General features: G+C 37.4%; 1 protein-coding gene across 14 annotated transcripts in view, besides 1 other annotated feature; it reads right to left on the bottom strand.

Moving 5' to 3' along the window:
* The window catches only part of PKP4 (plakophilin 4), a 224,478-nt gene that overhangs the window by 186,159 nt on the left and 25,484 nt on the right, over window positions 1–12,835 (bottom strand). The gene's annotated exons all lie outside the window — the stretch shown is intronic.
* Window positions 5,620–5,914: a silencer, noted in NCBI's record as "tiled region #8835; HepG2 Repressive non-DNase unmatched - State 19:H4K20, and K562 Repressive non-DNase unmatched - State 8:EnhW". NCBI's record gives its function as "represses a minimal TATA promoter and a strong SV40 promoter by Sharpr-MPRA in HepG2 and K562 cells {active_cell/tissue: HepG2 | K562}" and the evidence as "EXISTENCE:reporter gene assay evidence [ECO:0000049][PMID:27701403]".

Below are 12,835 nucleotides of genomic sequence, written 5' to 3'. Positions count from 1 at the left end.
TTTGTCAGCCTAATCTGTGAAAAAAATGGTACTTCATTTTTATTATTTCTTTTGAGACGGAGTCTTGCACTGTCACCTGGGCTGCAATGCAATGGTGCAATCTCGGCTCACTGCAACCTCCGCCTCCTGGGTTCAAGTGATTCTCCTGCCTCAGCCTCCCGAGTAGGTAGGATTACAGATGCCCGCCACCGTGCCCGGCTAATTTTTTGTATTTTTAGTAGAGATGGGGTTTCACTATGTTGGCCAGGCTGCTCTCGAACTCCTGACCTCATGATCCGCCTGCCTCGGCCTCCTGAAGTGCTGAGATTACAGATGTGAGCCACCGCGCCCGGCCACCTCATTGATTTAATAGTTTTCCTGACTACTAAAAATGCACAACTTTAAAAAAAAAAATAGAGCAATGATCATTTATTTCATCTCATTAAAGTTTTTGCAAAACCTCTAGAGGTAGGCACGATTCTCACTTCACTGATTAGGACATAGGCTCAAAACAGTTTAAATATCTGCCCAAAGTTAAAGAGCAAGCAAATAGCAAAACTAAAATCTCTATTTGGTTATAAAAAATCATTTGCTGTTTGCTTACAAATTAAAAGAACCATTAAGTGCACTTTATTTATAATGGGGATATTTAGTACTTTGAAAAAGTCTTTGCAACTGGTCTAGAAAATTTCATATTAAAAACCTAAATAACTGAATAATGAAAGTAATCTACTACCATATTTTAAAGTGCTTTACTATCCATGATTACCTAGTTTAAATATGTTATTACAAAACAAATCATCCTTAATGGTATTAATCATCACTTCAGACATATCAGGTTCATAATTCGCTCATCTACTTTCAAATAACTAACACATTTTATTTATTCATATCATTGCAAATAACGCTGTAGTTTACAAGTATATTATTTGGCACAATTGATATTTCAACTAACTTCAAGTAAGACTATATAAAGGTCACATTTTTTAGGGCTGTTTCTTGTTTTATACAGAACCCATTTTCCCCTCCATAAGTAAAAAAAAAAAAGTACATAATATAAATATATACTCTGCTGTCCTAGAGTAGTAGAAACATAGTGAGATGCCTAAATTGGTGTAATGGATGAGCTTCTTAGTTGAAGTCGAATAAGCAGTATGCTAAGTACAAATAGCTTTTCCCTTCTCATCAGTGTTTACCTTTTAAAGTTCCTAAACTGTATTAAAAAAGATCCAACTTTTATCATGGCAAGAATCTGCCTCCCTCCTGATAAGACTGAAATGAAAATGTCAGCTTCATTTTAAATGAATTTTGCACCCCTGGACTCCATTCATTTCTTCCCCAAAGACCAAGAAATATTAGTAGTGCAATCAATAATCACACTGGAGAATGAAAGAAGACTGAAAAAAGGGGTCCACAAGGGTGGGGAAAGGGGGAGAGTGAGGGAAGAGGAGAGAAAGGCAACAGTAAGACCTAGATTAGCAGGAAAAGCTCACCAGTCCTGAAACCTCAAGGAGGAAAGCATGTTGCCAAGTGAGCAGCACTCACAAAACAGAAGCCCAGGCCAAATGCTGCTCAATGCCCTCATGCAGCAGTGCTAGACACCTACAGGGACTAGAAGCCTCTTGAGACCTTCTCAAATCTCTCAATTTGCTAACGTCACTGTGTCACCGACTTCAGTTTTGGAAGAGGGCTACTCAGGCATTAATGACACTGTGCAGCAGGCCTAGAGAGCAACCAGTCCAGCCTGGAAAAGGAGGACAGGTGGCTGGTCCCAAATGTGAGGGTTAAATGGGATTCACTGATGAGCTGCTAGGGTAACCACATGGAAAATGGCACTAAGAGGCTAAAGGAGGGTGTGAGAAGATTTGGCTGTAGATCAAAACGAAGTTAAGGAAATGGAAAAATGAGGCAGGTATTTCCACTGGTGGAAAAAACACTTGGATTTAAAAAACGATGAGAAACTATTTGGCTCACTGGTGAATGATATATATAGTCAAAATAATGGAAACAATAAATAGTAATTTAATAAAAAATTATGATCTGTCATTATTAGGAAAACGGGAAGACAGCAAAGGGGTATAAGGCAGAGATTCTCATCTATGTATTAACAATAATAGATAATATCTAAAATTAATGATTTAAAAAATAATATGTTATTTAGAAATAAGGAGATGAGTATCAGAAGAAATAGACAAAGTAACTGAAAGTATATACTTCTGGCAAAAAGAATGAGACAAGGGGGTCAAAGGACTGTTATAATTTGTTATAAGGCTTTCAATATTTTAATTTAAAATAAAAAACTAAAACAAACATTAAAAATAAACAGTTTAGAAAATAAATATTATTAGGTAGGGAGGAAATAAAGGTTATGTATAAAGACTATGCCTATGAAGCATAATCCCCTTTTCTTAAAGAAACAAAACCAAAAAGCTGTTCTAAATGATGAAATTATGGGTAGTCCATCTTTTGGTTAGTCTGCATTTTCTACTGTAAACACGTATAACACTTCTGTAAGAAGAAGAAAATAGTAATGTTAAAAGGTACGCAGGAGGAAAATGGTCAGCTGGAAACAGAACTTAAGTAGTAAGAGTCAGAAAGACAAAAGGAGACAGAAAAAAATACTATTGTAACAGGCAAAGAAGGAAAGCAATTTTCCCATGGAGTGGGTTGTCAAGTGTTGATGGGCAAGACAGATGAAGAGTATCCTCAGGAGCAAAGCCCGGGCAGGGTGGCAGGAGGGGAAGCAGGGTGGCGGAAGCCAAAGGGAAACGGGGTTGGGGTTGGTGTGGGGGAGAGGGGGTGCCAGTACAGCTCTCTGGAAGTGAAGGCAGGTTGCTGGCTGTTGTTAAAATCTGAGGAGACAGAAGATACTTAAGGAGAAGCAACCAGTGGAGAGGAAGCAACTGAGATTAAGACAAAGATGATTCCTCAGCTAAAAAAAATTAACTTCGCATAACTTGCTTTTTCGGTTTCTTATTTTTATAAGAATATGGGAATATCTGAACAGGGGGAAGGTGTGAGATAGATTCTGAGGAGTTTCCTATTCCCTGTGATGCCTTGTTTCACTCTGTGGGCAACTGAGGCCATTAGATTTTTTTTTTCAATCAGGGCAGTGACACAACGTAGACTCCAGGTGCAAGAGAGCCAAATTGTATAAAGTAAAACTATAAAGTTAAAAAAAGGGGCCCGGTGCAGTGGGTCAAGCCTGTAATCCCAGCACTTTGGGAGACTGTGATAGGAGGACTATTTCAGCCTAGAGGTTTGAGACCAGCCCTGCCAAGATAGCGAGACATCATCTCTACAAAACATTTAAAAATTACTCCAGCATGGTGATGCGCACCTGTGCTCCATCTACTTCACCTCTAGCTACTAGGGTGGCTGACATGAGGGGCTGCTTGAGCCTGGGAGGTCGAAGCTGCAGTGAGCCATACTTGCTTCACTGTACTCCAGCCTGGGTGACAGAGTGAGAACCTGTCTCAAAAATAAAAATTAAAAATAAAAAAGAAAGCACGAAGAATACCTTGAGAACTAGGGCTAGAGAAGGATTTGAACAAAACCTTCAAGCTATATGGCTGGGGTGGGGGGTGAAGGGAGAACAAACGATGATTTTGATAGCACATTTAATGATTTCTGTTCAATAAAGTTTACAGACAAGTGGGATATTAAAGACTTTTGTAACGCCATAATAAGGGATATATATCCAGAATATAATGATGTCCCTCAAATCAACATAAGATTAGAACCCCCAGTAGAAAACTGGGCAAAAGGTATGGACAAAAAATTTACAGAAGAGGATACCCAAAAAAAGATAACAAGCAGATGAAGACATTATCAAGTTCATAAGTAGTCAGAGAAATACAAACTGAAAATGAGTTGATTTACACCTGGCAGACTGAACCACGCTAAGTGTTGGGTTGTGGAGACATATAGATGGATGCAGCCATTCTAGAGAGTATCAGCACCGCACAGCTCAGGCAAAGTAAGAGTACTGATAGTCTATGATGCAGCAATTCTGGTGCTAGGCATATTTCCCACAGAAACTGTCACACAGGTCCCAAGGGATCACGCACCCCTTTTTACGATGGTGAGGAGGTGAATGCAATCTAAATAACCATCACAGAAGGAGGGGAGAGATAAAACTGGATGGATATATATCATGAAATACTCAACTGCAGTCAGAATCAACAAGCTAACACAGACACCACCCAGGGACACATATCTTTAAAATAAACTAAGTGAAAAATATTAACTGAATGAGAATAACAACATTTATGTAATGATTTACATAATGCAACATACATATTATACAAGAGTACACACAAACAAAAACACTAAACACATTAGAAATGCCTACGGCCGTGGGAGGTAGATGTAGAAGATGGGGATAAAGAAATAAAACACTGACCTGGTCCTGACAAATGCCATCAATGGAGATACATGAACAGCTCAACCCTCCCTAACATCCAACTAAAGAATTTCTCCAAAATAAAGACCAGCAATGTGAACACAAAAGAGAGAATCCAGAGCCAAGGAGAATAAACAGGAGGTGGTCAGATCAGTCTTCCAGGGGATTTGCTACTGTAAACCTACAGAGACTCATGCCCTCCTTAAGACAGATTAAATCAATGTTTAAAATTATTGTCCACATTGACTCCTGAGGAATCCTATTTGTACTTCTTCCTCCAGAAAAATGCCTGCTTATCCCAACTTGCTATTTCCCCTTTCTAAACTTCAATCCTCTATGACAAATTAGCTATTCTTACCATTTACAACTCAACAGCATTCTTTTAAAAATAACAAGTGGAAATTTGTTACAAGCTTTTTGAAAATCTAAGAAAAATTCATCGACTTTACTTATGCATCTTTTAACCCCCTAAAATATTCTAGTATTTTTTTTCTTGTAAATATCACATTTGTTTGCCGTCTTTTTTTTTTTTTTTTAAATCAATTTGGTGACCAGGTCTGTTATCAGGGAGGTACCAGAGCTTAGCAGGAAAGATGGACAACAAAAGCTCTAAATCCTCTTGCATCGACACGTTCAATTTGCACTGACCAATCTGTTGGCACAGTAACTGTTTATAAGCTAAATTTCTACATTTTGGCTACAAGTATCCCAAATCCACCTTTTAAAAAATCCTAGGTAGATGCCATCTGGTGTTAATGATTTGCACACCCCTTAAATTGAAAATATTTTAAATAAATCTCACGGTTTTATATAGTATCATTAATGTGTCTATTTTAAAAAGACAATCTGAGAATAACACTTCCCCTAATTGTTGTCTTAATAATGACCAAGAGCTGAAGAAAAATGATTCACACTGTTAGTTGTTTTGTTGTTTTGCTCACGGGGGAAGGGGGTGAAGTAACTGGCTGTGCCTGGGTTTTGAAGCTCATTAGCACTAGGGCCACACTTGAGGAATCCAGACTCCTCTCACCTTAAGGTTTTCCTACTATAGACTGTGAGAGTTTCGCTGGACATAATTATGTTTTTTAAAATGTATACTTTTGTCTTGCTTAACACAGCTTAAATTGATTTGCAAATGATTCCAAAAGGAAAGAACATTTTGTAAATGACATGAATAACATAAGGTTTAAATGCAGCAAGTGAGTAGAATTTCATTTCTGATACTGTAACACTGAAAAGAAAGGGTTAATAAATCTTTAGCCCAGCGTGGGAAGAGCCTCAGCAAAAACCCTGCATCCAGCTAAGGCAGCTGCAGGGGGCAGAGGAGTCAGGGAAGCCCCAAATCAGCATTCTGAGTGCTGCGATGGGTAGCTGGAACATTTTAGGTACAGAAGATGATTTCAGGGATGACATACCAACTCCACTGGAGGAACAAAAGACAAGCAGCCAATCATTTTCTTCTAGCAAGGAATTCTGAGAAGGGTTATTGATAGGTTTTAGCGTCAGAAATCTCTTTCATTTGTCAGGGACACAAACTTGAAATGATTAAGATAGTGTGGCCACATTAAAACTCCATAACTATAAAAAGCAAAACCCTAGAAAGTTACTATAAATAGCAGTTCAAAAAAGAGAAGCCCAGATATGCTAACACCCAGAGAAATAATATCAAAAGATTTTAGATGTTATATAAATTTCACACCTACAATAATGATTTCTGAAGGAAAAAAAAATGACTCTACTGTATGTGGATGAACTTTGTTTTAAATAAAATCTTATCAAAATGTAAAATATTGGATTTCTGGATGTAGAGAATGTGAATTGAAAAGATTTATCAAAACAATCATCATCAAGTTCAACTCCATTGTACAGATGACGAAATAACGGCTCTGAAAGATGTAATGCCTTCCCCAAGGTTGTTAAAATAGTTGATGCAAATGAAGACACATCTTTTGAAGACACACTGCCTTGCACACCTGTTCCTATCTGATTCCAGCCACTCCTTGGACAGCTCTCTTTTAAACACCCATAGACTTCATTCTTTCCCTGACTCAGGAGTGAATTCTAAGCTCTTTTTCCTGAACACTATCAACAATCACTGATAATCCTTGGTAACACTGAGATATTGTTAACACTGCTATTATTGGAAGTGATATACAATCACCCAAATAAATAGTCTATTCATTAGAAATGAATAATAAATTCAGGCATGCTCAAGGGACAGAGATTACACTAAGGCATGGATTCCAGGAGGTGGGATCACTGGAGGCTATCTTAAAGCTGCCTACCATAAACCTACTGGTGAAAGGATATCTGCATGTAAGTGAGACAGTGAGTGTCAAACAGAATCAAAACAGGGTTGGCAATGATCTCTCTTCTCTGTGACTGCTTCCCCACATTATTTAGAGGTAGTGGGACAATACAAGGGGCATAATAAACATAAAAAAAGAGCACATGGTATATATGGGAATTTAGCAAGGCACCATTTCTGGAAAAGCTTCAACAGTCAGAATAAAAACAGATGAAGAGTCATCTCAGAAGGAAATGCGGAAAAGTGTTGATGAGAAGCTGAAGGAACTTTAGTCAGGGTATGGCGCCTAGGAAGTGTTAAAGAGGATGCCCCAGCACATAGTAGGCTCAACAAATACTGGTTAAACTTTCATACACTACCTAGATCTTTCACCCCTTGCCTCCAATTTTTTTTATAATTTGGTTTCATGACAATGTGAAACTTACTTAGCAACACATGTATACAAAAATCAGATCATACAATGGTTATAAACAATTTAGTAGGTGGCAGTAATAAATTTGTGGATATAGGTGGAACAGATTGAAAAACATAAAGGGTCTACCTAGAATATAGCTTGATCCTGTGCAAAGAAATCAGAAATGAATAATTCCACAACTGAAGAAACGAATCAATATTTTCATTTATGATTTAGGCATATCTCCATAGTTTTCTACTAAACTTATTTTACATGGTGTATTTCAAGACTATATTTATTCCCCAAAGAGCTTCTCTTAAAAAACACATTCCCTTGTCAAATCTTTTTCCTTCCTCCCTTCCTTCCTCCCTCCCTCCCCCTTCTCTCTCTTCTCTCTCTCTCTCTCTCTCAGTCTTTCTTTCACCATCAAGTCTCTATAAGCCAGAACTATGCTGGGCAATGGTCCAGTACAATGTCCTTACTCAGCATTCAAAGTGGTATAAAGAAAAAGTGTGGAATAGTATTTGCAGAAACTATTTTTACCTTCAAGTTCTTTCAGCATGTGTTTATTTAAATTTAACTTGAATAATTATATAAACATTTTACTTGAACAAACCAAAACTTTAAACTCATGGGTACTTTATGCATATGACACCTCCCATATTAACTCATAGCAACAGTATGATCCAACCAGAGGCCTTTTCTTTATACATCAGAAAATTAAAGTTTGGATTCTGACTGAATTACTCACAAGTTGCAGGATCCTAGGGCAAATCATGGATTTCTTTTACTGTTTTCTCATGTGTAAAACACACATAATGATTATAAGATTATGCACTTCCAAAGATTATGGTGAAGACAACCAGTAAATGAGAAACTATATAGAAACACTGGTTTATACAAATGTGCTTTTTTTTAAAAAAAGGCTTTGTGCCAGTTAAAAATTCCTATTTATGGCCTTAAGGCTCTACTATGTCACTTGCAAATTGTTTTTAACTATCGCACGAAGCTGACAGGCAGTGTGAAAATCACTCCCACGGGCTGAATCATAGCGTGACAAACTCCATTCTCTGGCCACTACTTCTCTGTCCCACCCCAGTTTATAGGTATGCTTTATATAAGGATGCTGATGTAACGTTTCATATGGAATATATCACAGGGCTGGGAATAGGTACAGAACTATGAAGCTGACATGGAAGATAGTCTCCTTTGTATTTAAAATGTTACTGTAATTCTGACTGTAATCATTCTGTGAATGCATTACAACTAAAATGGCTAGTACACAAATACTCTTACTCAACCTACAAAGACTGTCATTGGACTCACGTTTTATTGTCTACAATTCAGCCTCAAGCTGCTCATGCTTAAGACAGATCATCCCAAGCAAGGGAGAATGACTTTCAGTCACCATTATTCCATACCATGACAATGGCCTGCTGCTGGCATTACACATCAGTACATTTTTCAAGCATCTTTCTAGACTGCTTCCCAAAATCAGTTTGCCATGTGGCAGGTCCTAACTTATTATGCCTTACTTAGTCTATTCTCTGCCTTATAGTTTAGAAGAGTTGTATTTGGAATGTAGGTCACTGTGTTCTCAACACCCCTTGCCTCACCACCACACATTACCTTCCACATTCTTAGTAAACTAGAATACTGCTCAGAAAGCTGAATAATATCTGTAGGTCTTATGGGTCTCAAAGTCCTTCAAAGTTTCGTCCTTTAAATACTCAGTTTTACCAAAAACTCAGTTCTATACTGCTACCAAACTATACGTTTTCCCAAAACCCATTAAATTTGATACAGTGGAAAATATTCAGTCATATGCTGTGTAAATTTCTTCACTTCAACATGATTTATTACTCTAGTAACAATCTCAAAGGAAAACAATTCTACTTTGCAAGATACAATTAATATTGTCTCTATACCTCATACAATATAATACAATTTTCTCCTTATATCATATCCACATATATTCACATAGGAAACAACTAGTTTAATTATAGCCTATCATAAAAGTAAGAATTTAAAAAAGTTGAGCTGCCAAGTATCTTCAAAATAATAATGCTATGATTACAAATTTAATGTTATAAATTCCAATTTTCCTTATCAAATTTCATTTTTGTAATTCTTTTACTTTGAACTCCACTATTAATAATTACATAGATTTAATTAGAAATAAAAAAAATTTAATGTGGCCAAAATTAGAATGTGTATTTTTGTTTGGTAACAACTGCTATTTAAAAGGTTTTCAACAAAATAACAATTTACTGTAAACATAACCTTAATTAGATTACATATGCCAATGTATTTTAATTATTGACATTAAGGATGGGTGTTACTGAACATAAACTAATTAATGTCTATTCTTATACTTGAGATAAAAACAAAACAAAAACAAATCTTCAGCCATTATGAAGTTACACTTTTTTTTGTATTAGAATCCAGTAGGCATACAGAAATTTCAGTATCATTCTCCCATTTTACAAATGACAATGAACTAAAGGGTTAAATGTTTTGTTTATAAAAGAGACCCTATTCTCATGTTTAAGCTCAGTGATTCATCACATCAAATCATTTTCATTCATTCAACAAATACACACTGACCACCCAGTACACTTCAGGTGCTTGTAATGGGCTCTAAACATGCACGGTTCATGCAGCTTAGAGTCTTGGGGAGGCTTCAAATAATTCGACAAATATGAAATTATGAACAGTGGTGTTATAGGTTACATGGAGAGCCAATCTCATCTCAGATAGTAACGTGGGTCTAGGGTTAAGTGGGTTGGATGAGATTCCAGCACTGCCATTTCCTACGTACTTCTGAATGACTTAACTGTTACGTGTTTCCGTGTTTTCGTCTGTAAAACAGGGCTAATAATAATTGGCTTGTAGAGTTGTTGTGATTAAACCAGTTAATTCACATAAAATGTGTGGAATAGTGCCTGCCATACAGTAAGTGCTTAATAAACAATGACTATTGTTTTAAGAGTAGCTGCAAATCTGGCCTTGTATACAGGCCAGGCTGTCACTTGGGACATTCTAATTATAGAGAAGGGTGGGCCACAAAAGGCCTTGTAGACCACGGTGAGGCTTTCAGTCTATCACAGAGCAACAGTTAAGTCATTCAGGTAGGAAAGTGACCTCATCAAATGGTTTTCTTTTTCTTTTTAAAGATCTGGCACTTGGGGAGAACTGAGTGAGGTATACTGAGGTGAGATATGAGTATACTAGGTTGGATGGCTTACAGTAACAAAATCCTGTACCATTTATTCTGATTGTCACCTGCAAAGCTTTTCCTACTGGAAGTACTCCCTTCTAACAAGTCCATATGGGGCTGTGCTTGCACCCCACTTATGAGCAGTTTTCAGCATTTACAGAACCATGCAATCTTCTATTTACCACACTGTGTTACCACATCTTAAAAGAATAGTTTCATGGCTAACAACCCATTTATAAGCGAAGATAATCCACTTACTGCAACTCTATAAAATGCCACTTGGTATAAAGGCTGATTGTCATCATCTTTATCACAGAAAATATGCCAGAGGCCTCTTAGGTAAGGCCCTCTTTGAGAAAGTCATCTACGTGTATATTCAACAGGAACCAGGCATTTTAGTTATTAAAAGTTCAGAGTATGCAAACAAAGGAGAAATACTTCCTAAGAATAGACAACAACATGCATATAACCTGGAACCATAAACATCTCTAACACATTCACCAAATCAGGACAGCAACGGACACTTGCAACAGCAGAGCCTCAATGCTTCAGTTCTCAAGGACAAGTGGAAATGACGCTGAGTTAGCACGGATTCAAGAGGCTTTGAAAAAATGTGCAGGCCGGGCGCGGTGGCTCACGCCTGTAATCCCAGCACTTTGGGAGGCCGAGGTGGGTGGATCACGAGGTCAGGAGATCGAGACCATCCTGGCTAACAAGGTGAAACCCCGTCTCTACTAAAAATACAAAAAATTAGCCGGGCGCGGTGGCGGGCGCCTGTAGTCCCAGCTACTCGGGAGGCTGAGGCAGGAGAATGGCGTGAACCCGGGAGGCGGAGCTTGCAGTGAGCCGAGATTGCGCCACTGCCACTGCAGTCCGCAGTCCGGCCTGGGCGACAGAGCGAGACTCCGTCTCAAAAAAAAAAAAAAAAAAAAGAAAAAGAAAAAATGTGCAACTGTGCACGTTCTTGTTATGCTCACTTTTAATGTATACACACACACAAAGAAATTCATTAGTCAGGCTGGCAATAGATGAAAAAAGGAAAATCAACTCAGCTGACCGTGGTTTCTGCTGGCAGTTTTAACAATACTTTGGTAGAACGATGATGAAAAACAATACCTTTCAAATTATTTGTTAATTATCTGTTAATCTCCTAATTTTATCTACACATTTCCTTAGAGCAGAACATAATTCCAAATTCAATTGGTTCTAATAAGATGTTAATAATAAATTCAAGAGTAAACTTTAGTGAAAATTATGTCCCTTAGTATTTTTCTTAATGTTAGGGGCTTTAAAAAGTTTCAAAATGGCATTAAAAAAAAATCACTACAATGACTTTTCCAGATAGTAGATCCCCCCAAACACCATTTAATACACAAAAAGCTACCTGCTTTCCAACCTGCCACACTGATGGTCTCTATGATGCTGTATTACATATTTTGTCATTAATATGTAGCTAGAGTTAATTAATGACCAGCTGTCAATTCATGACTCATGAAACTTATATAAGATCATCAAAGTTTAGAAACAGCAAGTTGGAGATCCAAACCTCAATAATAAAAGCAGAGAATGAGAAGACAAAATGATTTAAAAAAAAAAACACATAGCAATGAAGAGCAATCTGTTTATACACAGAAAAGAAAAATTACAGAAAGATCAAACATTCCCAGAAAAGCATTAGAAATTGGGGAGTCTTTGAATAAAATGCATTAACAATGAATAGAACAAATAATTGAGGAAAAAAATTCCACCATGAGAAATGGATAAACAAAAAAGAAAAAGAAAACCAATCACAGCTTCCTAATCCTTATCTCAATTTTCTAAAAGATACAACTTCCCCAACTCAAAACACTGATTTTTTTAAGGACACACTAATGAACAGACAGCTAACTGCTCATGACTTAGAGATGAACCAATGACTACTCTTGAGGTCTAAATTTCAGGACCTAGCCATAAATATTCAGTATTTCCACACTGGATGGATAAAAGCTACTTAAAAAATAACCAATTGGCCTGTGTGTAGGCTAACAAACACTGTATCACAAACTTTAATAACACATACAGGTATACTTCCATTCTGTGCAATGACCTGCATGTTCTCTAAATTCCTTCCTCCCTTCCCCCCTCTTTTTTTTTTTTTGAAGCAAGGTCTTGCTCTTTCTGGAGAGAAGTGGCATGATCATGACTCACTGCAGCCTCAACCTCCCAGGCCCAAGCAATCCTACCACCTCAGCCTCCTGCATAGCTGGAACTACAGGCAAAAGCCACCACACCCAGTTAATTTGCTTATTTTTTGTAGAGATAGGGTCTCCCTGTGTTGCCCAGACTGGTGTTAAATTCCTGGGTTCAAGCAATTCTCCCACCTTGGCCTCCAAAAGTGCTGGGATTATAGGCATGACCACCGTACTTGGCCTATATGTTCAATTTCAAATGGTAAGGTTTTAAGATAACGTGGGTTAAAACATAAATGAAATAAAACTTTCACTGACATTTTCCTTAGAGTAAGAAACTTCATAATAAACCAGGTGCGGT

The sequence above is a fragment of the Homo sapiens genome, chromosome 2, assembly GCF_000001405.40.
Source record: "Homo sapiens chromosome 2, GRCh38.p14 Primary Assembly".
In the NCBI taxonomy this organism is placed as follows: Eukaryota; Metazoa; Chordata; class Mammalia; order Primates; family Hominidae; genus Homo; species Homo sapiens.
The sequence above is the reverse complement of the archived record's forward strand: the minus strand, read 5'-3'. Positions and strand labels throughout refer to the sequence as shown.